The sequence below is a fragment of the Homo sapiens genome, chromosome 5 (assembly GCF_000001405.40).
Source record: "Homo sapiens chromosome 5, GRCh38.p14 Primary Assembly".
NCBI lineage: Eukaryota > Metazoa > Chordata > Mammalia > Primates > Hominidae > Homo > Homo sapiens.
In genome coordinates this window covers 102,785,736-102,812,941 of record NC_000005.10, presented here as the reverse complement: position 1 = coordinate 102,812,941, position 27,206 = coordinate 102,785,736, and the positions used below count along the sequence as shown (strand labels likewise).

General features: G+C 36.2%; 1 protein-coding gene across 51 annotated transcripts in view; it reads right to left on the bottom strand.

Moving 5' to 3' along the window:
- The window catches only part of PAM (peptidylglycine alpha-amidating monooxygenase), a 276,323-nt gene that overhangs the window by 218,164 nt on the left and 30,953 nt on the right, over positions 1–27,206 (bottom strand). For 8 of the 51 annotated variants that reach the window (XM_011543419.4, XM_017009497.3, XM_047417240.1 and 5 more), the window contains exon 1: positions 4,711–4,744. The exons of the other annotated variants lie outside the window; for them this stretch is intronic. The gene's annotated coding sequence lies outside the window, so the exon portion shown is untranslated. Of the gene's footprint in view, positions 1–4,710; positions 4,745–27,206 lie in introns of those variants that run through there. 51 annotated transcript variants of the gene reach the window in all.

The window sequence follows — 27,206 nt, the reverse complement described above, 5'->3', positions numbered from 1 at the left end:
GTGAGCACTTGCATTAGTATATACTATTGATAGATAAAAGAAACTAAACATTGAAATGAGCTTACTATGTACATAAAGAAATAACTAAATGTATATTTTATTTATGGAGGTATTTTTGATAGATTGCTATTTCATTATTTATTAAATAAAAGAGCCAGCTGATTTTCATGTTTAACTTCATTGTTAAATAATATCTCTCCTTTAATGATGGTATTTTGATTGACAAATCAATCTCATAATGACATAAAATCAGATTTTTTAAACATAGAATCCTAAGGTTGCTGTACACTGTGGTATGAAAAAGAATCAGTGTAAAAATAATTACTTCCTGCAAAGAAATGTAATTTTCACAAGCCATTGTCTAAGCAAGGGTCCTAAGGTACTATTTAGTTTTTCTCCAGGAAATGATTCCAAAAATAAAAAAAGAATATGTGTAGGAAAACAGTTGGTTTTCTTTCCATCTCCTTTTTTTCAGAGAACCACAGCAAAATGTAAATCTAGGCTTTCTGTCCAAAACTAACATACTACAGTAGTCTCTCTTCTGCATCTTTACCACTTGTATTTAGCAGAAGTTAAAATACAGCTACTAGATATAAATTATCTTACGCTTTGTGTGGATGGACCCATGTGCTATCATTTGGCTTAAATGTATGATTAACACAGGATGTGAACAATAAAAGAAACTATTTTTGCAGCTGTTGCCCTCATGTTTAAAGTTATTGATTAATGTATATATTGTACCTTTCCTAGGAAACTGTATAGGGCATAACTGTCAGATTCATCTGCTAGGTTTTGTGACTCATATGGCTTAATGCCAGATCCATAAACGACAGTGTTATTCAAAACTCAGGGTTACTAGATTTCACATTTGGCTCTCTAGTGGCCCAGGTATTACCCTTCTGTTTCTAAAGAAACCCCAGCTGATTCACATAGGAGTTAACTAATGGAAATTTTGCAGTCCCAAATCAGTTTTGTTTAATTAACTTCATCTGATGTGAGCCTCTCAATAAAAATATTAAACTAAGAATAGTGTCACTTTACGAGACTCCCATCTGTACCTAAGAGTTTTGAACATTTGAGTTGGTGAAACATTTCTTTCTAATCTGAATTTCCCACATTAATTATTTTGAGGCATTTTAATATCCTTGGGGATGATTACATCCAATGAATTAGGTCAAAGTTTCATAGTCTCTATTGGCAATCACTAGTTTAATTTATGATTTTCAGCAAAAATATCAGATGTGTGAATTTAATGTAGATTAAATCAGCCATGCATTTTGTTATCCTTCAATGGCGGGTAGAATAATGGCCCCCAAAGATATCCATGTCTTAATTCCTGGAGCCTGTGAATATGTTAACTTACATGGCCGAAAGGACTTTGCAGATGTGATTAAGTTTAAGGGTCTTAAAACGGGGAGAGTCTCCTAGATTATCCAGGTGGGCCCAATCTAATGACATGACTCTTCTAAAGTGGATAAATTTCCTGGCTGCAGAGAACCAGAGAGATGGCAAAGTGAAGATTCAGTCTGTACTTGCAAGCTGTAAAGATGGAAGGAGGTGGCCAGGAGCCACGGAATGCAGATGGCCCTAGAAGCTGGAAAAGACAAGGAAAGGAATTCTCCCCTAGAGCCTCCTGAAAGGAGATGTAGCCCTTCTGACACCTTGATGTTTCAGTGCAGTGAGACTTGTGTCAGACTTGTAACCAAGAGAACTGTAAGATAATAAATTTGTACTTTTTAAGCCACCAAGTTGGTGGCAATTTGTTACAGCCAACAGTAGAAAACTAATAGTTATTATGCTACTTTCATCACTCTTGTAATGGGAGAAAATAAGTTTAAAGGTTGGTTAGGAAAAAGTGCTCAACTCCAACTAGAGAGTATGCTGCCATGAAAATGAAAACTGGCCTGTAGAAGGGTGGGCACCAGTTCCAATCAGCCCTCGCTCTGCCACTGAGTGAACACAGAAAACTGAGTAAAGCACTTAACCAGTCCCTCACAACCCAAGCTTCTCCTACCACTGGACAAAATGTTTATTTCCAAGTCCATGTTCCCCACAGAACTTTTTCTAATTCTTTTGGATAGTGGTTTGATTTAACTTTTTTTTTTCTTTTTTTGAGATGGAGTTTCGCTCTTGTTGCCCAGGCTGGAATGCAATGGCGCGATCTCGGCTCACCACAACCTCCGCCTCCCAGGTTCAAGCAATTCTCATGCCTCAGCCTCCTGAGTAGCTGGGATTACAGGCATGCGCCACCACGCCTGACTAATTTTGTATTTTTAGTACAGACGGGTTCTCCATGTTGGTCAGGCTGGTCTTGAACTCCCAACCTCAGGTGATCTGCCTGCCTCAGCCTCCCAAAGTGCTGGGAATACAGGCCTGAGCCACTGCACCTGGCCTTAACTTCTTATCTTTCTAGTGAGAGACAAGGTGATCCTTTTTCTGCCATATTTCATTTATCTCATGCTGGAAAAGTCTACAGACCTGACATTTCCATATTTCAGCAAAAACAAGTTTAAGTATCTGTAAAATTTAAAACATCCTTATTAGAGCATAAAAATAAAGTAAAAACTTTCCTAAACCAATTTTAAAAATCACTGCCTAAAACTACTTGGAACTACTCCCTGATTCAAGCATGAAGGAAACTGTAATCTTTATAGTACACTCTTTATAGTGCTGCTCATATCAATCAAGTCAGCAAAAGTGTATTTTCGTGGATATTTTAAGGGTTCAAAATGGCAGAAATATTTCGTAATTATTACTACAAAGAGCTAGTTATTGAAGAAATTAAATTATGTCACCCCACACATTAACATGGCAAAGAACAAAAACCTAATATAATTTAGCTTAGACTATATTATTCTTGTTTCCAACATAAGTATTAGGTGAGTGTTTTAATGAAAAGGTTTTAAACAGTATAGAAACAGTTTATATTGACTTACTTTCTTCAATATTTAACCTATTATAATCTAAATTAGGTAGTATCATAATTTTTCCTACTTCTTAGGAACTATTTTCTGATAGCAATGAACAAGTAAATTTTCAAACACAAACAGGATTAAGTATTCAAAATAGTGAAGAAATGAAGTCAAAGCATTTAGACTATTTTCAGGGCAGAAAGAAATTCAAAGACTAAGCATTACGATATTTAAGATAAGACATATCCTTCACTTAAAAGCAATTAAATTTAAATTTTTAAGCAATGTTTCACCCTCTCTCACAGTTGTACTTCTCACTGATTCTTTGTAGAAAGGCGAATCATCTCATGCAGAAATAAAGCAAGTTAGACAGAAGGGTATATTTAAAAAGGCTTCAAAAATACAAGAAACAAAATGCAAATTTTAGACATTTCTCTAGGGAGGGACAGTCTAAACCATTTACCCACCTGTCAGCAACGCCATCTGCCTACCTTCCACACAGAATAAACGTTCAACTATATAAAGAAATGGGAGCCTTCTCCAGTCCATCCACTCTACTCTTGTTCTTTTTCTCTGCAAAGCTATCTATTAATTAATTAGAAACTGCTGTTATCTACCACTTCCATTAAATTTAAGGGTTTTTTTGTTTTTTGTTTTCTTTTTTTTTTTTTTTTTTTGGTAGAGACAGGTCTTGCTTGCTTTATTGCTCAGGCTGGTCTCCTGGGCTCAAGCAATCCTCTCACCTCCGCCTCTTGAAGTGCTGGGATTAGAGGCGTGAGCCACTGTGCCTGGCCAAGTATTACATTCTTCACAGAATGTACTACTGAATCATTCCTTGGGAATCAAGAAGAAGAAATAAATGCAAGACTAACTTTATGGGCAGAACTCTCAGAATGAAGAGATTCAGAAGGAGGCTGATAGAGAGGAACCGGTCATGTGTCTCATTATTTATTGTTTATTGATAAGGCATACCGTCAGAGAAAAACTGAAACAGCACTAACTTCTCAAGGAAAATATTCACGTATCACTGTTCTGTCTGAATGTTATAAGTGGTTCTACTATATTCTTTCTGTAAAGCTGAACATAGCTGGATTATCCTTAAGAAGGATGGATACATATTCAAGGAAAACTTTCATGAAGCACTAATTGCATTCATCACAATAATAGAAGCATTATTTTTACAATCAAATTGTGTGAGATATTGAAAAGCTATAAAAGTGTGGCATAACTATGGAATGATGATTATCACTGTACTTTGAACTTCATACATCTCCCCTTCACCAACTAAATCTTTGTCCTACATATTTTAATTTCTATAACATGCAAATTCTCAGCATGGTTCTTCTTTCTAGTATCTTCCCATACCATCTTAGATATTTCAAATGTTAATATCATTTAAACTGGGTAAAACATATCAAATGCCAATACAATATACTTACACACTTTTTAAAAATTAGCCCTACTTGCCCTGTGACACTTGTCAAAATATTTTAAGGAAGTTACATATTTCGAATAGTTTGAAATAAAAAGCTATTGCTGTTTACCAGGGAGAGTAGCAGGCGTTACACTGTGCATTCAGTTTTCTTTATAAGCCTACCCCACATGTGCCTGCCCACACACACCTATGCACATACACACACACACTTTAAGTACAAACTACAAATCTGTTCTAAGTAATTGACTGGATGCTCCCATTCACTATGATTTCAGTCAGTAGTATATCTTAGAAAGCAAGAAACCTGAAACAGAATAATAGAAGCATTTAGTAATTCTTCAATATGCAAAACAAGGCACTTACCTTCCATTGCTACAGATGTCTGAAATCACACTGGAAAGCGAGCAACGAGAGAGAGGGGCTTTATTGTGGGGTGAATCATCCCCACGTAGATGATCTGAACAACCCCTGTATGCATACTGACATCATCAGGAGAGACTTGGAGGCAGAGGATACTATGGTAACCAAGCAATGTGCTGGGAGACAGAAGCCTTTAATTGCTTTAACAACTTCCTGGGGCTCCAGCTACCAGGCTTGGATTTGCTAAGTAGGAAATGAAGGTTGTCACAGAGGCAGCGGGTGTGACACAGAGCAAGAGGACTCGATGAATTCTGAATCTACTAATTGCGATGTGACTTTTTAATGACAAACATCTTTACATGATTCTATTAGCATCATTCCCCTCACATCTGAAGCTCTGACGAAGGCACAGGTCAATAAATAATGCTCCCAGGTAGCAACAGTCTAAGTATTCATATATGGCTTTCTCATTTAGCTAGCATTAACACTGTCACATTACAAACATCCTTATCCTTAACGGTGAATACTTCATTTCCTTTCAAAAGAAAGCTCACATCTATGCCTTTGGAGGTCAGCTTACTGAAAACAATGAAAACTGACTCTATTTACTTCTCCATGAGGTGGCAGCTGCCCAGTCTATTTATCTCCTAAATCCTTGCCAATACATCACTTATCCAGAAAACACCTCCAGCGAATTGCCTAATTATGACACCCAGACAAAATCAGAAGGTATCTGTTGACTACTGCCACAGTTTTCTGGTTAAGTCTCTTCCATCACAGGCAGAATTACTTCTACTTCTAACAATCCTCCAAACTACACATAATTTAAATCTCCCTTTAAACTATTTGTCCTTCTCTGCCTCTGTGACCCACATTCAGAGGAATACAGCCTCTCTTTAAAATATCCAGTTTAAAGTAATTGCTTAAAATAACAATGTTTCAACATCAAACCAAGTCTATAATGAAATACTACACTTATTTGATCAGATGCAACACTTTAATAAGTATATAATTTATCATCTGTACTAAGAAAGCTATTGTTTTCTTCTCCATGAATATTACATTGACATGTTTTTAAACAATACTGAGGTCTAATTTTGCTATTGCAAATACTGTAATTGTAAAGATAAGCAAGTAACTTACCAGATCTTAAGATATTCATATCACAATCAAAAATGAAGGTTGTCATTCCGTACTGTATATTTAGATCTCAGCTAGTTCAAAGAAACTATTATTATCTCTATTTCAATTTAGATGAAGCTAAGCCTACCTTTTAATGTTTCCCTTGTGAGTAAATAGTGCGCAAACGTATAACAATAATACTGCTTACAAAAATAGTAAAATGGATTACAATAGCACCAATTTACAATCTGGAATATGTAGAAAATTTTAACTTAATTGATAAGTTGGGCTTTTCATTCCCATATAGATTAGAAAAAATTCTGAAAGCAAAACAGTAAAGTCAGCCCTCACAAAAACATACAGTAATTCAGATTTTCTAGATTCAGGTAAAGTACAAAAGCTTTCCAACAAAATGGAATTACTCCTATTCTTTCATTTGTTCTTCTGAGATCCTGAGTTTGAGAAGCAAAAATGCAGTTTACTATAAATTAACAGTACAAAACTCTGTGTGTGTGTATGTGTGTATATATATGTATATATCACACATATATTCAAATTTTAAAATAAATACATGTATTCATCTGAATATGCACTGAAAAATGTCCAGAAGATACACACCCAGGACATTTGGCCAGAAGTGTTGCTTCTAGCAGTGTCAATTGCAGACTAGGTTTGAAGGAGAGTCTTCCAATGTTCATATTATATGCTTTTAAAAGGTCTTTAACTATGAATATGAGTTACTATTGTAATTCAAACAATGGAAATTCATCGAACTCTGTTCTGGGCTTGCAATCCTGGCTTACCTGCCCTCAGAGAAGGCCAATGACAGCTTCAGTGGTCTAGGTCCTAACAGGCTAGCCAGACTATTTTAAGGTTGTTTCAAACAACTCTTAAGAGGAGATGACCCACCTGTCTAAACAGAATTAGGGTGGAAAAAGCAAATAAAGGTTATCTAGGCAATACACACACAAAAAGGGAGCACTTGTTTCGACTTTTCCAGAGATGTAACAATCATAAAGAACAGTCCAACAGTAAAGCTGCTTTGTTAGATGTTTTTTTAAAAAGGTACCATTTCAAAAAGAGCACATCCGAAAATAAGACCAAACCAAGAGGTCTCTAACACTATGAATGGCTGAAGGAAATATGGAAGACCACCAGCAGAAACAAAAATCAAGTGTGAGTGAGAAAAATGGCCCCACATGGCCAGATTATGTGGCCTGTTAGAGAGGCTTGCATTAGAGAAAAGAGGCCTAATTTATCCAACCTCCATTCCCTAATTCCAGGCCTCATTTAGTTTTTATTTTCCTCTTAATTTGCAACACTGTCACAGTGTCTTGTACTAGTTAGTGTTCTATTTCCTTCCACGACTTCACTAAATATTTTGGTCAGCGTGATCTCACCACCTTATTAGAGATCATAAACTATTTCTTGAATTGATAACTTCCAACAAAATTACCTCTTCCTTTGATTCTCAAGGACAGCAAGAGACAGACCTTGTGAAGTACACACCCACAGAAGCATGAGGTCCAGAGGTTAGAAACGGACCTGGAGCAGGGGCAAAACCTACCCAATAGCAACACTGGCCCCATCGAGCTCTGACATGTTCTTGCTGGATAACAGTACACCTTCTTTTATTCAGAAAAAAACACTTCTTTCCCAAGAGGATCCTAAGACTTCAAAGACATCCAAACAATAGTGTAAATTCTCAAACTGAAAGAAAACAGTAGTTAGAAGGGAAGATGAGGGGCCAGGTGCAGTGGCTCATGCCTATAATCACAGCACATTGGGAGGCTGAGGCGAGCAGATCATGAGGTCAGGAGTTCAAGACCAGCCTGGCCAATATGGTGAAAGCCCATCTCTACTAAAAATACAAAAATTAGCCAGGGTGGTAGCACGTGCTTGTAGTCCCAGCTACTCAGGAGGTTGAGGCAGGAGAACTGCTTGAACCCAGGAGGCGGAGGTTGCAGTGAGCTGAGATCACACTACTGCACTCCAGCCTGGCCAACAGAGAGAGGCTCCGTCTCAAAAAAAAAAAAAAAAAAAAAAAAGGAAAATTCCCTTTCATAAGAAACAGACAAACCAGCACTATTTCCTAAAGAAATAACTCTATCAGTTTTCAAAAGTATTATAAATCTCATCTCTCTCCCAGTCAGCCACCTTAAATTGATGTTTAGAGTTGAGCAAGACCCTGAAACTAACTTCTTTCTTAAACTAAGTGAATTCATCATGGCAAGTGCCAATTCAGAAGCAAATGAGGGTTAAAGTCCCACCTGAGAGAGGAAATTTGGCCAGGATTTCTAAAGCCCTGACTGTCAGCTACAGCGGCCATTCTTCTGGTTCCTCTAAGTCACTTTTCTGAGGATAAGGCAAAACACCCCTAATCCTGATACAGCTTAGCCTCATAATCTAGGTTGAGCTTCCTCCTAGTCCAGATGAGCAACAGTCATGGTTCCTCTGATCTTGATAGAACACTTTTTCTAAATCCAGTTAAGATGTTCCAAGGACTGAAAAGTGACAGTGGGATGTGGGACTTTATTATGAGCATTTGGATTTCAATATGTTAATTAAAACTAATTCATACTGACTTAATGAAAAAGTAGTCCAAGAACTTCTAATGACAAAAGGGTTGTAACTCCCCATCACCCTTAAATCCAGTTAGCAACCAAATTTCCCTGATCCTTCTCTTCCTGTTCCATTCCCACTACTGCCCCTCTAGCTTAGGTCTTCTTTATCAGGCATCTTATAATGTTCTGGCTTCCCTGACTCCAGTGTCTCGCCCCTTTAATAATTCTATATATCACTTTGTCCTTGATGCATCTTTATAAAACACTGCCTTGACCAGGTTACCACCAAACTCCAAAACTCTAAAAGGCTCCCCCGTGAGCTGCTAAATCAAGTGCACATTTCACCGTTTCAGCGTAAGCCCATCTTTACCAGAGAGACCTCCTGATACTTTAAGCAACAACTAATTAGACAATCTGATGCACAAATATGTCCCCATACTTTCCCTCCTCCAGGCCTGTGCTCTTACTGTTTCTTCCTCCTGGAATTCCACATCTATCTCCCCATCCCCCCCTGCAACCCTCACACTTCTCCTGTTTCTCCTCCCTACCATTCCAAACCCTATCAGTTCTTCAAGACCCATCATCAGAAGTCAGCTCCCTCTCAGAATTTTCGGTGTTCTTAACCTTGAGAACTGCACTTAAAACATACTTTTGCATAGTTATTTATCAAGTTGCTTATTTTCCTACTCTCTTTAATCTTCTGAAAGGTAGACACAAAGTCAATATTCACCTCTTATTCTATACATAGCACCGTGCCTTGCATTTGGCATTCCCTCAATAAATACTTATTCAATAAATAAATACAAAATTTATTATATCCTATTTTTCTAAGGTGCTTAAAATTCAATTTTTTCAATCTTTTAAAGAACCCAGTGTGGTAGGGAAAGGTAGAAATCAAAATTTCACTTTTAGAAATGAAAAACAAAACAAAACAGAGGCTCAAAATGATTCCATGGTTCCTCCTGTGTCACATGGCTTCTAGAGTCCCTGATGCCCCAATCTGCTCCTCACCTGGACCTCTACTGCTTCTCATCACAGCCAGAGAGCAGGTGTGCTCCCATTCCCTCACAGTGAATCCACTGTTTCTAAAGAATTAAGGCTGGAATGGCCTTAATTTTTCTCCCTTACTTATGTCCTATGGCATCATTACTCACCTCATCCTAACATTCTCCAGGCAACTTACGAGGGATGGAAGAAACATCTCTTGTTACCCATTTCTCTTACCTACATCTAGCTACCATCTTATCCTACTCAAAGGAAAAAAAATACCTCGTCTGACTGCTTTGGTGATTCAAGTTGAGTGCATTACTTTTCCCTTCCTTCCTTCCTTCCTTCCTTCTTTCCTTCCTTCCTTCCTTCCTTCCTTCCTTCCTTCCTTCCTTCCTTCCTTCCTTCCTTCCTTTCTTTCTTTCTTTCTTTTTTTTTGGACACAGAATCTCTCTCTGTTGCCCAGGCTGGAGTGCAATGGCACTATTACAGCACACTGCAGTTTCAACCTCCTGGGCTCAAGCAATCCTCCCACTTTAGACTCTCGAGTAGCTGGGACTACTGGCATGCACCACCACACCTGGCAATTTTTTAATGTTTTTTGTGTGTAGAGATGGGGTCTCGCTATGTTGCTGAGGCTAGCCTCCATGACTTTCCTAAACATCACTTCCTCATTTTCAAAAAGGGAAGAACAATAGTACTACCTCATATGTAGTTATGAAGATAAAGATAATGCATACAGTACTGGCACATCACAAACACTCCATAAACGGTAGTTATCATAATTAATAATAATAAACAAAACTACAGATAATCGGATGACACCACCTTCTTTGAGAGGCTTCATCTGTATTCTGGAACAGTGTTGTAACTGGGTGATACAGAAATAGAAACTGGCCAAGTAAGGGCCCTTAAGAGTTTGAGTAATTAAGTGGGGCCTCAGTTTTTTTAATATTTAAAATAAGGATGTTGGTCTGCTCCAATACAACATGCTATGTGCTATGAAAGTATTCTATGGCAATTCTTTGACCTCTCCCGCATAAATATCTGCCCTCTTCTGCAACCAACCCCAGCAGAGTGCCCCATGTATGGGTCCTTTTCTCAGTCTATGTAATAGACTGAAGCTATGCAAAGTTTTATCCTTAAAGGATTTTAATTTCACTTTCATTTAAAGGTCCAGAACTACATCTTTATACTAGCTCTGAACTCACCCAAGAGTTGATTAACTTTAATATTTTCCCCAAACTAAACACAAATTATAAAGCCTTCAATGTTTTGAATCTAAAAATCAAAGGAATTATACATGATGGCTTACTCTAATACCAAAAACTTACTTCAACATTTCATGATTCTAATTTTGATTATAAGTCCCAAAGGAAGAGCTGGATTAAGTTCTAATATACTTTTTCTAAAGAAGCTAGTTTAAGATAAGTTCCCATTTTCGTCTCTCAATTAGTGGAGTTTAAAATACCTTTTCCCGGCCGGGCGCGGTGGCTCACGCCTGTAATCCCAGCACTTTGGGAGGCCGAGGCGGGTGGATCACGAGGTCAGGAGATCAGATCGAGACCATCCTGGCTAACACGGTGAAACCCCGTCTCTACTAAAAATACAAAAAATTAGCCGGGCGTGGTGGCGGGCGCCTGTAGTCCCAGCTACTCGGGAGGCTGAGGCAGGAGAATGGCGTGAACCCAGGAGGCGGAGCTTGCAGTGAGCCGAGATCGCGCCACTGCACTCCAGCCTGGGCGACAGAGCGAGACTCCGTCTCAAAAAAAAAAAAAAAAAAAAAAAATACCTTTTCCCTAGGATACAAATAAGGAACTTTGAGGGAAATGTAGAGCATTTTTGTGAATCTAACCATGGATATTGTTTTCATGAAATAAAAGGAAGCATAAGAGGGGTTAAGGATGATGCCTGCAGCCTAAGAAGACCAGCAGAGCCGACAAGATCTGACAGCAGGATGTGGGTTATAACGCTTCTGAAGGAAGCAAGGTTTTTTTGTGCAAGGGTTTTACAAAGGGTATTCAGGCAGGACTGTGTTTGGATTTAAATTAATCAGCCAGTCAGTTCCACAGTGCTACGATTCCTTCTGTTTAACTGATTAAGGCAGGTTTACTGGCAGTTCCCAAATGATGTCAATAGCTTCTAAAAGGTCAAATGCAGCCCACATAAACCAAATGTCCTAGAATAAAAAGCATCAATAATTACTCCCCTATAATCTGCGGGCTGTGAATTATCCCATTTGAATCGAATGCCCTGATTTTTTCTTTTCCTAAAAGCTGAAAGATAATTTATATGTTTTAATGATATAAATTACAAGAAAACCTGTTTTATTTTATACTATGTCTAGTTAAAACAATATAAATAGCTCAGCTTCAGTATCACATGGTGAGGTGAGGTGGAACCCTCCAGTCGATAAGGACTAAGTTAAATATAATAACTTGTTACAGTAAGCAAGTTAAAACCAAAGCAATGTTATTAATGCAAACTCACAAAAAGAAAGCTACAGTTGTAACCATTGTCAAGTAAGAAATGCTCAGAAAACAGCAAGTATATAAAATATATATACTTATATATTTTCTAAGCCATGTGGAAAATTCCATCTGGGTTCAAAACTGGATTCTAGCCCTTTGGGAGTTTCTTTAAAATCTGATGTTTCATTGTTTTTTCCCAAGCAGTAGGGGATTTCATGCATTCCTGTAAAATATTAATTACACATATCTTGGGCACTAAGTCTAAAAGGAAAAGGGAAGAGAAGATAAGCCCAGGGTGATAGAGTATAAAGTGATCAGGACCAGCTCTTGTCTGTCTATGTCCAGACCAGGGACTCAAACAATAACTGCCAGCCCAGGGACTCAAAGGGAGTTCCAAGAACTCAGCGTAGCCCCCTCCCTCCCATTAATGTCCCTGACCTTCATTTGTGAAAAAGGAAGCAATGTTGCACAGTGTTTTAGAGCACAGCATGGGACCTAAATCCCAGCTCTGCCACTTCCAATCTCTGCGATCTTGGGCAAGCTACTTAACCTCCCTGGGCCTCACTTTTGTCACCTATAACATGAAGGAAAAAAGAATGACACTTCTAAAGGTTGCTGAGAGCACTTCTAAGAGCCAGGCAAGGCCACTGCTCTTAGAGAACTTGTATTTTAGAGTGAGAGGTAAAACAAGGAAAAATTAAAGAAATAAATTACAATTTCGTATACATGCAAAATGGCTCTGAAGAACCATACCACAGAGTGACTGGATAAGAGACTGACTGGATGGGGGAATGACTGAGATACAGTTGGCAGAGAGAAACCTCAGTCTCAGAAGAAATGACATTTGAATAAGGGGAAGGAACATGATGCATAAAAATCGAAGAATAGAAGCTTCTAGGCATAGAAAGCAGCAAGAACAAAGGTCCCAAGACAGAAATTAGCTTAGAATGTTTAAGGAACATAAGGAAGCCCAGTGTGGCTGGAGGACAGTGAATAGTGAGTACAATAAGTTTAGATACCCATTAGACAATGAAATAAAGGAGCCAGGTAATTAATGAATGCATGAATGGAGCTTGTGGTAGAGGATAAGACTGGAAATGTAAATTTGGGATTCACCTACTTAACACAAATCTCTGTAAAGCATTCAACACAGTCCCCAAACATTGTTGTGGATAACCAATCTCTCCATCCTCACCTTTGCAAGTATGTGAATTGATATTTTCATTAGGGAGGCTGTCAACAAAATAGAAAGAAGAGAAAAGACGGGTAGAGTTGAATTAGCTCAGGGAGTGCAAATATATTTCATGTTCAATGCCAACCTGTGAAATAGTAGGGACTTCCTGGTGTTGTGTGTTGAGACGGAGTCTGAGGCCATGTAGGAGCCTGTGTAACAGTGTGTTCCCTTATATGCAAAATATTATAAATGATAAAGATTTCTAAGGCTCTGGAACTGGCAGTTTTTGTTCATTACCCGTTTCATTTTGGCACTTTTCTCAAAATAATAGTATAAATTCGATATCATTACTATACCTACGCTATAGCTAAGAAATATGTGGCTGAAATAGAATAACTTATTTGCCCAAAGGGACCAGCCTTGAAATAGTTAAAACTGATTGGGTGTATCCAACTCTGGAGACAATGTTCCCACCTAATGTGTTATGCATGAAAATTTGCAAAAATAAGCTCCTTTTTTGTATCTCCCTAACCACAGTTTAAGGGTCTTTCCACCTGAGCCTGATACATCTGGATGGAGTATGGAATGTCTTGTACAATCATCACTCAGTCTGGCATGTTCTCTGGTTTCTAAATATACACGTTGCATTGTGAAGCAAGCATCCAGGCACTATTCTTTTGATGATGTTAGTGCAAAGCATCCTGTTTGTTAAAATGCCAAATCCGATGTGATTTAGTGATTAAGTAATCTTGTAAGCAAGCTGACATAATTTTAGAAACTGTCAGAATTCCAGGTTATTTTAGCAATGGTTGCATCACCTACCCTATTCTTCAGTTGATGGTTTCTTACCTAGCTGCTTTTAAAAACAAACACACACATTTTCTCAAAAGAAGTTATTGACGTTGCTATGCTACTTCATCCACACAACAGCAGATTCATATACATTAATTTACAGGAATTTTTAGTAATTTCATCCTAAGCAATAGGATTTTTAATTTTAAAGATTCTAGGACAGTGAGAAGTAAAAACTCACATAAGTTATAGACAAAACACGATACAGACAGAAAAGCTAAAATATTTTAAATCCAGAATTACCTTCTTTTCCCTTCACCCACCATGCTTTCCTTCCTATCTTTTTTCTGTGAGAGGGCTTTATAACAGAAAAAAATGTATTCCTATACTACATTGAATTGATTCCAGCAAACTAACCAGATTTGCAATTTTTATTAGCAAGAGCCATAGGCAAGAGCAATAATACACTATACCTATCAGTGGTTAGTTTTATTCATGAACCCATGCTGGGTGAAGAAAAAAAGAAGTAAAGCTAACTTCAAAGCATTATCGAAAGATGATTAACTCTCTAGCCACAAATGAGAATCACAAGCTACTTTGATGCGGGAGAATTTTTAGTGCCTAAATTTAAAGAAAAGACATCTACTATACAAGTTTAACCATTCAAAAAATTCAATAATATACCTCCTTCGCATGCTGAAAACCAGTAATTACCTAAGGGAATAAATAAAATTAGAACTCAGCTTCAGAAATTATGCTTTAAATGCAAAGCTCACAAACAATATTCCTCCCTCATCATATAGTCCAGTGGCAAAATGCCAGCTCTAATATATACAGTACGAGAAACAGAACTCTTTACATTGTGATTGTCTCCCATCACCCATACCACGAGGTACTTTGGGCACTGATCTGGCTGCAATGCACATCTTTATCTCAAAAATTCCACTGAGTTCAAATTTGAGTGTTATTCAGTGTGATACACACTGACAAAGACTATGGTTCTATAAAAATACTTGTGCCAATACTTAACTTGAAGCTAACATTGACAATGATCTGAAACTGTTAATCCTGGGGCCCTAAGCAATCTCTGTCATTATATATAGTATATGCCATTGTCTATTTTCACACAAAATTTGAAAATTATTCTTTAGTATGTATAATTCTTAAAGTTGTATAAAAATAGGCCATAGAATATACTGTATGAATTTCAAGAGAAAATGGAAATTACTAAAGAGAAAAGTGAGTAGGTTGAAGTGTGTTATTATTAGTAGTAGTAGTAGTAGGAACAATGGCCTAAGCATACAGGAAAGGTGGAAGGCTAATACCATGTACTTTATATGGCTTCTAACATGTAAATACATTTGACCTGATACTATTTTAAAAAAATGTTTGTATTTAGCAATCTGATTATACTTAAATATTCTTAAAACCTAAATGCTGGAACATTGCCAATTTTCTCTTCTCTTTCCTACCAAAATGACATATCTCTATCAATAATTCTTTGGAAAAATATTCAAGGCACTCTCAGAAAAATTATTGTGCTTCATTATGCAAAATGGAAATGCAGCTTTAAAAAATATTCTGCCTGACATTCAGTTCTGTATACTGCTACAGCAGGTCGAAAGCCATTAGCCACCTGCTGAAAACACATACTAGGAAACAAAATGTCCTTCAAAATCATTTTGCATAAGGTATTCTCTAAGCAAAAGGGTGAGGTTATATTCTAAATGTTTATGAATGTGATGGCTCAGAAATACACTCACCATGACATATTAATTTTAAAATAATATTTAATAATGATCTTATGATTTAGAGCATTCACATTGGATTTTTAAAAGCACCATGTCTATTATGAGAGAAATGAAAGTTACAGAAGATACATAAAATAACCAGTTCCATGGCTGTTGTTGTCTCCTTTTCCAATAAAAATAAGAGACTCATTATTATTCCTGGGATTCTTAGGACAATCTCTTTTATGCCAGTAGTCTTCTGAAGAATGACCCAACAGTCCTTTGGTATGTTAAAGATATTCTTTAAGTCTGTTTTTTACAGAAGAAGCAAAACACCAGCCCTTGTGCTGTTGCACATTCAAAATAATTCACAATTCATTTTTGTTTAGCATTTTGAAACTTGGCAATGAAGCATATGGCTCTCTATCATTATTCTATTATTAGGTTCCATTAGCAATAATTAGATAAATGGTCATTTAGCACTTTGTACAACCAGGTACTGAGTTAAGTGTTAGACACACCTTAATGCATTCAATCCATGTAACGACTTTATGACACAGGTAATATCTATTACCATTTTACAAATAAGAAAACCAAGGCACAAAGAGGTTAAGCAGCTTGCTCATAGTTACACAGATAGCAGATGACTATTTCAAAAAGGGAAATTTATAGCTTCCCTCATGTAAGATGAGGGAATGTGAGCTTCTGAATGTGATGAGCAAACGAAAGAAAATGAAGGAGGCAAAGTACAAAGAGAGTTGAATGAAAGGACTGAATTGAAAGAAATGCTTTCTCTTTCACAATTTTCTCTAATCTTATTTGGCTGACTGTGGTGCTCAAAAAAATGACAATAAACAGGTAAGAGAATTATAATCTTACCAAGAGCAAAGATGACTCCTACCAGACTCCTACCAGACACTAGGAAGATCAATTTTTCTTGCCTTATTTAAAAGGTGAATTTCCACTGTGTGGAACTGCAAATATCCAATCTCATTGCCCAAACTCTGGGATGACATCTGGGAAATAAATAAACATTTTGGTACCATGTCAGATTCCCTGGTTGCAGAGGCACAGATCGATCTATGAGTCCTAGACTATTGACCGACAAACCTGGTTCCTAACATGGATTGCAGGTGACCTTTGGAGACTGACTTCATGAAGGGCCCATGGAGCTCACAGACTATTAGCTACAGAGGGTCCAACTCCACTGGTGTTGCCCTCATTAACTTGAACAAATAAAAACTTGTTTGTACAGATCTCAAATTACCTCCTGTTACAAATGTCCAGTGCCTCTTCCAAGGGCCCAGATCCAAAAATCTGTCAACAGATCACAGGAGTTTTTGCTGAGGCTGGTGCATATTCTGATTTGTTTGGATCATTTAGAAGCCTTTAAACAAAATATCACAGGCCTCTAAATCTTCAAGTATAAACTAAAAAAAATAACTCATGGTTAATAAACTATGAACTCCAACAAAATGTGTCTGACAAAATGGAAATTGTAAAACATTTCAGGAAAAAATGCACTAAACTCTCTGATAATGAGGTTGGAAAAGATTCCCTTTTCCGCACCCAAAACAAAGGAATGAAAATCCCTGCTTTAAGTGAAGAGAGTTGCCATTTATTTTATGGCTGAAGACCAAATTATACATATTTTTGTGACTTTCCGTTAGGGATCAAGGTCAATCACCAGATTTTTCTCTCACACCAACCACACGGCAGCAGCACAAATACGTATGTTCCTCATCCCTTTCACTGTGAATTTTTAATTTTGGTTTTCCCTCTCAGAGCAGCTAAGATTTCTTCATTTGTCAAAAGGGTAGCCATTAAGAAAGTCATTTAGTTAATAAACAAGGAAATTAGCTAGCCTGATACAAAACAGATAGTAACAACACTAACAGCAATCTGTACACGCAAATTAAAGCAGCGAGAGTTGCTCTGATAAGCACTTTTAAACTGTTAGTGGTACTCCAAAAACGGCATCACCAGTATTAGAGGTTAGACAGCAGTTTAAAACATTTCTTCCTGTCTCATTTGGTTCCTGCAAAAATCTCAATAGTAATTTTTGAGTTTTACCTAAGGATGTGCAGAGAAAGACATCAGTAGAAAGAGGAAACAAGAAGTATCAAAGTAGGATAACTCATCTCCCATTCCAAGCACTTTTCTTTTTCTTTTTCTTCTCTTCTTTTTTTTTTTTTTTTTTTTTTTGAGACATTGTCTCACTTTGTCACCCTGGCTGGAGTGCAGTGGTGCCATCATGACTCACTATGGCCTCAACCTCCCGGGTTCAAGTGATTCTCCTGCCTCAGCCCCACAAGTAGCTGGGACTAACAGAGCCCACCACCACTCCCAGCTAATTTTTTTATTTTTTGTAGAGATGGGGTTTCCCTATGTTGACCAGGCTGGTCTCCAACTCCTGGGCACAAGTGATCTGCGAGCCTCAGCCTGCCAGAGTGCTAGGATTACAGGTGTGAGCCACCGCACCTGGCCCCAAGCATTTTCCTGCATCTTCTTTTGTTACTCTTTGGAGCAACCAGCTAATGCTTGTTTAAGTTTGAGGAAAGCCAAATAACCTAAGTAAACAACACAATGGACACAGGACTTGTAAATCTCATGAAAGACAATGCCAGATTTTAAAGTACATAGTCATCAAACAAAAAAATTAGCATCAGAATGTTCATAGCCACATGTAAATGTTCTATATTTTTTAAGCTGATAATCTCTATTTAATTTGTACATGTAATAATTTTTTGGTGGTGGAATCAGCATAAATATAAATATCACTGTTTCATATTGAATCAAACTATCTTCAGTTTTCTACAAAAAAAATAAATCTTTTTTTTCACCTAACCTTCCTTGGTACAAAAATTAAATCTTTCTTAATATAGAATAGGAAGAATCTGCTAATTCAATAATACTAATTTCTTTTTTGCTGATTAAAAAAGGAATGAAAAAAATCTCCTCATCTAGTCACTTCCTATAAAATGCTTGAAATGCTTTGTTCACCATTGGCTTTAATAATTCCTTCCTTCAGTTGGTGGAAAATGTATCTGAATCAGTAAGAATCTACTTCTGCCAATTCCTTTCAGGAAGACAACCTTCCACCTACTGAAATCACACCTCCACTCCAGGCTGTAGCCATTCCCAGCCTCCCTCCTTCACCTCAGTGGGACCTTGTTATCCTGATCCGCACAGCATTATGCTGAACTCCCAAGATAAGGGGAACAGAAAATAACCAGTAACAGGTATACATGTTTAAACTATCATTAAAATAGTTCTATAAAATAGAAAGCCAGAGTCTCAAGGGGGTAGCTGGCCAAGGATAAATAAACCACTTCAAGTATAATATAAATTCAAAAGTGTTAAATAAATAATAAATTTTACTTAAATCTACCAAATAAAAAGATAAGTAGTTATATAAATATGGTCAATACATTTTTTAAAAAGAAAAAAATATGCATTTAATTTGTTAAACCAAAATACTCAGATAAATATAGCATAATATATTCAATACATATTTCACATATTGCTGACTTTAAAAGTTTTTTATTCTAAGTATAAAAGTAATCTTCTCTTACTATAATCACTACAAATTGATAAATTAATTGTGTATATAAACTTAGGATAAAATACTTGCTATAATTACTTAAAGCATTTAATATTTTCAAAAGTGTTTTAAAATCTGTTCCTGGCTCAGTTTCTTAAATGACCAGGGATATTTCTATATTGCTGCTTGTCTGAGCTTTGAAAAAAACCAGTACTTAAAATGCTGCATTTAAGCAATAGCTGTTTTAGTTAAATACATTCTAATAGTTCCAAAATTTCAAACATTTCCACTGACAAGTGTCTTTGGTTGTTGTTTTGTTTTGAGACAGTGTCTCACTCTGTCACCCAGGCTGGAGAGCAGTGGTGCGATCAGGCTCACTGCAGCCTCCACCTCCCAGGCTCAAGCAATCCTCCCACGTCAGCCTCCCAAATAGCTAGTACCACAGGTGTGTGCCACCATGCTCAGCTATTTTTTTTTTCATTTTTTTTTGAAGAGACAGGGGTCTCCCTATGTTGCCCAGACTGCTCCCAAACTCCTGGGCTCAAGGGATCCTCCGAATCTGCCAAAGTGCAGGGGTTACAGGCATGAGCCACTGCACCCAGCCCAATTTACAAGTCTTTAACTTAAACATTAGAAATGGAAAAGCCTAGGCACTTTGGACTTAATTTACACGGAGGGAATTTTAAACGCAAAGAATCTTCGGTGTTCTATAAAAAATTCACACATTCAGAGAAGGTATCTTACCTAATTTTTAAAGGAAGAAAGGAAAAAGTATGAGTAAAACATTATTTTAGTGGAGAATGTTGTGCTCCTATGAGGCCCAAGATTCATAACCAACCATGATGCCAAAGGGGAGATTTTTTTAGAGGAATGAAAAAATTATTCCAATGTTACTTGATCAACACTAGACTCCACTAGGAGGCACTCTGAACTTACGTGCTACTGTATGACCTAATACTTTTGTGTCACTTTTTGTGTGTGTGTGGCTGCAGAAAGCACATTTCCTGCTCATAATCAAAGTGTCAGCCAGTAAGAGACCACCATAATAACTGTGGTAGGAGCCTCAAAAACTGAAGCTGTATTCTGATTTGTAAGAAAACCAATGGTAATCATGTGTTACAAACTCTTCACTTGATAAAATGATGGTTTCAGGGTTCCTTTAAATAGGGAAGACTTCTAATGTACTGAGAAGAGATTCCAAATTACAAATACTAAATTTGTCATCAGCCTTTCATGTTATTACACTGCCCCATTCCAACTCTTCACAATGCCAGTCAGTGGCAAATGGGTTACCATGCATTATGTTTTTAAAAGCAGAAAAGAGTGCACACAAAGTGCCCAAAGGCAACCAAAAAGACCTTAACAGCCAATTGCTTGGCAAATAGATAAAGAAGAAAAAAGTTTATGTAATTGCTACCTGCTTTTTATACAAACACATGTATTTCCTGGAACATGGTAAATGTTTGTTTTGAAAGTAACCTCCATAGTCTTTCCCCACGTCGTTTATCAGTACTGGATTGGAGAGCAGTTTATGACAATAAAGATTTCATTTACCTTTAATATTTTTCTCAACATTAAGATTTTAGATTACTTTTGTCACTTCTTATTCCCTCCAGCATATACACAAACCCACATATACACACACATTAATGTTAAGCTTCATATGTCTAAGGTGAATTTCCTAAATTCCATACATACCATGTTTAAATATAAATTACAACCCCCAAACAATAAATGGCTCTAATCTCCACTTGTGAAAAAAAAGAAGGATCAAAGAGTTTGTCAAACACTCTGCTGTAAAGAACACAAATCTGAGCAATAGTCCATTTTTTATGTTCACCCTTATTAGTATGGGTACAACTTCTCCCAATGTTTGTATATTGCCCAGTAAAGATGACATCTGGTGTTGTTTCAACAATATTTGGAGTAATGAAGCAGATCCAAATTAAAATGTTCCCTATAGCTATATTTTCCTTCAAGAAACTCCTACGATGTCCTAGATAAAACCCTAGAAACAGGCTATGTGAAACTACCTGGTTTATCTATTGTAAGACTAAATACAACTAATTAATTGACAGGATTTCAACCCAGGGTTGAAAGAAGGGAATTTACTACAGTATGCCTATCTTGCATTCAGAAACAAACCCCAAATAAAGTTAGCTATCTAAAGAGGTTTTTTGGTTTGGTTTTAAAATTTATTTTATTTTTTCTTCAGTAACACTTGGCAAAATGTTGAAAACAGAAGAATCTGCTGGAGAAAAAGTAGTTGCAAAAGAAATAAAATACAACTGGGTTAATGTCTTTAACACATAAATAAGTCTTACAAATATAAAAGAAAAGAGGAAAACATCAACAGAGTAACCACATGTAGAAGTAAAAATAATATAAAAATGTTCAAAAATAATATAAAAAATGTTCATGTTATCAATCCAAGTTATAACGTATTCTTGAATTGGCAGTTAAAAAAAAGAAAGCTAATTTCAGGCTGGGAAATGGGTGTTCTCATACAGACTGCCACAGAAATATAAACTGTCACATGGCTTTTTTAAAGAACAATTTGGCATATACGTATCAAACACATAAAAATATCCACACTCTTCTACTTAATTTTACTTCTAGAAATTTATTTTAAGAAAGTAGAGATAGGAAAAAATTAATCTAAAAGTATTTTCATCAGAGTGTCATTTATAACAGCAAAAACAAATTTCTAAGATCCCAATAATAGAGGACTGATAGAGGCATAAAATAAAATGTAATGCAGCTACTTAGATGCAGCTGTAAAAGAACATTTAGTGACAGGAGAAAATGTTCACTATCTAATGCTCAGTGAAAAATATTGCTCAGTTATCTTAATTTTATGTCTTATGGTTTTGAATCTCTGTTTGTATATGTGCATATATGCATGAACAGAACAGCAGAATGGCTGACACACAAACAAATGATATCAGTGCTTATCTCTGGGTAGTAAAATAATGGGTAATTTAAAAATATTGTCTTCTTTGTGCTTATGTTTTTTTGCATTTGACAATTTTTCATAATGAACAAGTATAATTCAAGAAAACAATGGGGGGAAATATAATTGCTCAGAAAAATAAAATTATGTGACTTCTTATATCTGATGCTCAGTTTCTGATAACTAGAATAGCACTGCTGAGAATAATGAAAATAGTGTTCTGTAAGAGGCTAAAATTGATTCTATGCCCACAGAAATGAAGAGAGAGGCATCGCTTCTCTACCTGGCAAAAGTATCTCTGTCTAACCTAATACCATATGAAGAAGCTCTATCTAACCTAATACCACACTATTAGGATAGGTTTCTCATCACTTAGATCTATTCCCAGGATAATAGTCAAATCATCCTCATAAGAACCACAGGCTTATTGAAAGCTACTGTCATTGTAAAATAAGCAGTAAGATGGCTACAAGCTCTGCTGTGATCTCTCTAAACCTCTTTGTGCATCTATACAATGGGAATAATAGCACTATCGATCCTAGAGGCAGTCTTTCAGCCAAACCAATTGTCCATCCTCAGATAAAGTTACTGTTTTTTTATATCAACAACAAAAATTTGCGGCATAGCCAGGACACATTCGTTTCCATAATCTCCTATGTCGGACAGGACATGTTTTAATTATTTGTATTTTAAATGCTGTGTTTTCTATCTGTTCACTGAGCATGTAAGCAGACTTTAAGAGTTGCAGTTAAGCTGATTATTTTGCACATGAAGCTATGTCTATAATTTCCTGAATAAACAAATAACAATCAACAAATATTTACTGAGCATCTTCCATGTTCCAAGAATTATGTGAAGTACTGAAATAAAATATTTTTTAAATATGGGCAAATCATTCCCCAGATCACATACAAGATAAGAAAATTGTATTTTTCCCAAATTTAGTCTAATGATAACTACTGAATATTTATGAATATGAATAATTAGCTAACCCTTACATTTGTCTTGTTAGTTTCTTTTCTAAAGGACTGGAAGCATTTTATTACTTTATAATGCCATTTTAGTAAGTTTTGCTATTTTATTGTGGCAAAGTATACATAACATAGAATTAGCCACTTTAACCATTTTTAGGTATACAGTTCAGTCCCATTAATTACAGTCACACTGTTGCACAACCATTACCACCATCCATCTCCAAGAACTTGTTTATCTTCCCAAACTGAAACTCTGTACCTATTAAATAGTAACTCCACATTCTCTCTTCCTCCCAGCCCCGAGCAACTAGCATTCTATCTTCTGTCTTGAATCTGACTACTCTAGGTACTTCAAGTAAGTGAAATCATACCACATTTGTCCTTTTGTGTCTCGCTTATTTCACCTAGCGTAATGTCTTCAAGGATCAGCCATGTTGTAGCACGTGTCAGAATTTCATTCCTTTTTAATGCTGAATGATATTACATCATATGCATATTCCACATTTTGTTTATCCATTCATCTGCTGACAACCACTTAGGTTGTTTCCACCTTTTGGCTATTACGAATAATGCTACAATAAACACTGGCATACAAATGTCTATTCGAGTCTCTGCATTCAATTCTTTTGGGTACATATCCAGAAATCAAATTGCTAGATAAGTTTTGCTTTTAAAATTCCAACTTCCAGTAAACATGTCTTCTGATTTTTAAAAAATCAATTATCCTCAAATTCAGTCTCTATACTGAATTTTTAACAGCCAAGGATCTATTTCATTATCTTTCACCACATGCTTTTAAAACCCAAATTAAAAAACAAAAGTACTGTTTATACCTATGACGTAAGGTATAACTCCCAATAATGCCAGTATTAGCTAACTTTTCTCTATCAAAGTCCATCTCTCTTTGGTAATGTCATCCATAAATACTCTTCCAGTTTCTTCACACCTAGCCTCTGACCGTTAGTGTCAACCAACAGAGCACTGAGCCACCAAATTTCTGTCACTGCATCTGACATGTTCCCCTGACAATGAACACATTTTATCTCCACTTTCAGATGACACATATGTATTTTAATAATGCCACCACAACACTCACAACTTTGTTATTAAAATAGTAGTTACTTAATAGGAAGAATTCCAGCCAAATGGAATAAGAACAAAGCAATATGTCTCAGGTAAAAGTATGACCCTCCTCCAGCATAATATTTAACTTCATATCATCAAAAATCAGATGTAACACCACTGGCCCATAATACAGATGTTATGATCTGTTACTCAGTGGTGTCAAAAAAGGATTCCACTATACTTAACAAAAATTAATTTGTGAGGATCCTTTGTGCTTTTTAAAATTATATAAAAATAGGTAAGGCATTTCATCTCTATTGTGAGTGGAAATATAATCTAGAGATACAAAGCAACCATTTTAAAATTCTTAAATGTGAATTACTGACCAGCTGAGGAGAGAAACGTAGTTTCTATCAAAAATAAATAGAGTTATTATGTCTTGCATACATTCCATAACTTTATGACACCAGTGGCATGACAAAGCTATTAAAGTCTTTCTGACAAAGTAAAGACCGTAATAACTCACTGCCACCTTCATCAAAGCTGGTGAATTATGGAGTATATGAAGGGTAATTACCCTTCAAATAAAGTATGTGGGCAGTTTCTTATCATAAATGTTTATTTTAAATATATAAATTATCACACCTTGTTAACAATTCAAAGCAGGCTGTGGTTAAATTATAAAAGAAAATTACTTCAGATCTGCTCATTTCTCATCCCAGGTATCAAATATATGATGATTTCTGTTACTAGATTCCAGTAAGTTGTACTGAAGTAAATTGGAGCTGTGTGAGTGCAAGTGAACTGAAATAGGACTTTCCTCAAGTATTTTTACGGTGAGGAATAGCAAAGGATTTTTCACAGATATGATACTATTTTAGTTCTTAAATCAAAAGCAAATTGATCTATTTTGCCAAATTTGCCAATAATGATAGCAGCAACCTGGAAATATCTACCATACATGAATAATTTAATAAATCCCAAGCCAGAGACTCACTATAATGGCTTAGAGAACTCCAGTTCCATAGATGGGAGATATGAATACTGGAAATACCCAACATTTCCTGAGAATAGCCAACATTTTTTTCTCTGAAATGCTCTATAATTGGTTGGATTTTCCATTCACTCACCAAGGGATTCGTAACTCTGAAGGAACTACGGGTCCCCTAGGAAGTATCAAATACAAATTTCCTTGCTAAGAGCTGCACAATAGTTTTCTTCCAGGAGTGAAGCTGACTGGGGTCTTGTTCAAGCTGAGTTTAGGCATTTAGACCATACAGTAGCCTATTTTCTGTACCTTTCACTAAGCCCAGGAAATCTGTCCCCATAATTGGGCACAGATTTCCTGGGCTTAGTGAAAGGTATAGAAAAATTTACATTCACATTTTAGCTGTTAAAGGAGGCAGTTTTGTCCCCACAGTTGGGACAGATCTGTCCCCATAGTTGGGATAGATTTCCTGTGCTTAGTGAAAGGTACAGAAAATATGTCTCAGGTCCCAGAACATAAGAACTCTAGACAGCACGGGATAATGGTAGCTACATTTAGAACATGGCTGGAACATGCTCAAGTCAGAAGAGCTGTGTGGGTCTGGCGGGACCTAGAGATGCAAATACCAAGAACTACATCTATTCTTCTTCTGCCAGCTCCCAACCCCACTTGAAATAGATTGAAAAATAAGGATGGTAAAACTATTTTGAGGAGGATAAATAAAATGCTAAGGATGAAGCATTTCTCCTTGGCCTTTCCACCAGCATAATGATTTCTAAATTAAGAGATTTTAAGTGAAATTCAGATCATTATAATTCAACAGCAGTAATGAACAGCCTTAATTTACAAATCTCAGATGGGAGAGTAAGATTTTTTTCTGCTTCCAGAGGTGTTACCTTCTTCTCATTACAGGGGTCAAATATATCTGCTGGGATTTATCATTATTATTATTAATTATAATCAGCCTTTGCTTGGTAGTTATCTTATTTATAACTTTTGATATAGAGTTTTTAAGATATATTCTTGACCTCTATACCACATATCAAAAGAGTAGTAAGTTACTTGTTTCTTTTCAAGTAAATTATTGATTTGCTACTGACTATGCTCAGAATGATGAATGAAGTAAGATTTCAAGCTGTGAAGAATCTGGAGCCCAGTACCTTTCTGACCCGCAACTTTGACCTAAAAAATGGCATGTGTCTAACTTGGAAAGTAATTTTTAGTTGCTATTTATTTAGAAATTATACTACATTTGTGATGCCTTTCTCCATTTTCTCCATGAATGGTTCAAAATTTAATTCCTAGAAATCACTAGTTTATAATCATTCCCTTTGATGTTCAGCAGTTCATAAAACTAACAGAAACCACATTAAAAAACTCAGAAACTGTTAATAGCAACGATTTAGAAAATAAGACTAAGTAGAGAATAAAAAATTGATATTAATAAGAGCTTACACTAATGATTACGAATTAAATTCTAGGCGCTATTCAAAGTACTTTTACAGGTTTTAACTCATTCAATGCTTACAAAAAGCCTGAGATGAATAATACTAATTTCTCCATTTTGCATATTAGGAAATGAAGACGCTCAGAGTTTAAGTAACGTCTGTTCAAAGTCACACCTTCTACATGTGGACAGAGCTCAGTCTGGCTCCAGGATCTGTGAGCTTACATGACACAAAATTGCCTCCTTTAACAGCTGAAATGTGAAATGTATTCTTGCTTGTGTCCTCTCAGTTCTTTCTCTGAAAATGAATGTGTTCACTGTACACTTGACCCAAGAATGGAACAGTAAATTTACAAAATGCAAACTTTGCTTTACCATAATTCTGCTAACATATTCCATAAATTCTAATAATTATTAAAAATAACTTCATATAAATGATCCAATGTAAGAGATTATAGTTTGTGTAAAGTTCAACATCTTTGGCTCAATTTGAAATAAAACGAACATGTTAAAAAAATAATTTAGTACATATATAACCACTTGAATGAATGATTTTTAAAAAGTTAAATACAATGGTGAGAACTTCCAACACCACTCCTTACTCCCCATTTGTTTCCAAAGTTCCAGAAACCAAATTTCCAACGAGACAAAAACATCTCTTACTAGATGCTTGAAGACACCTTATATT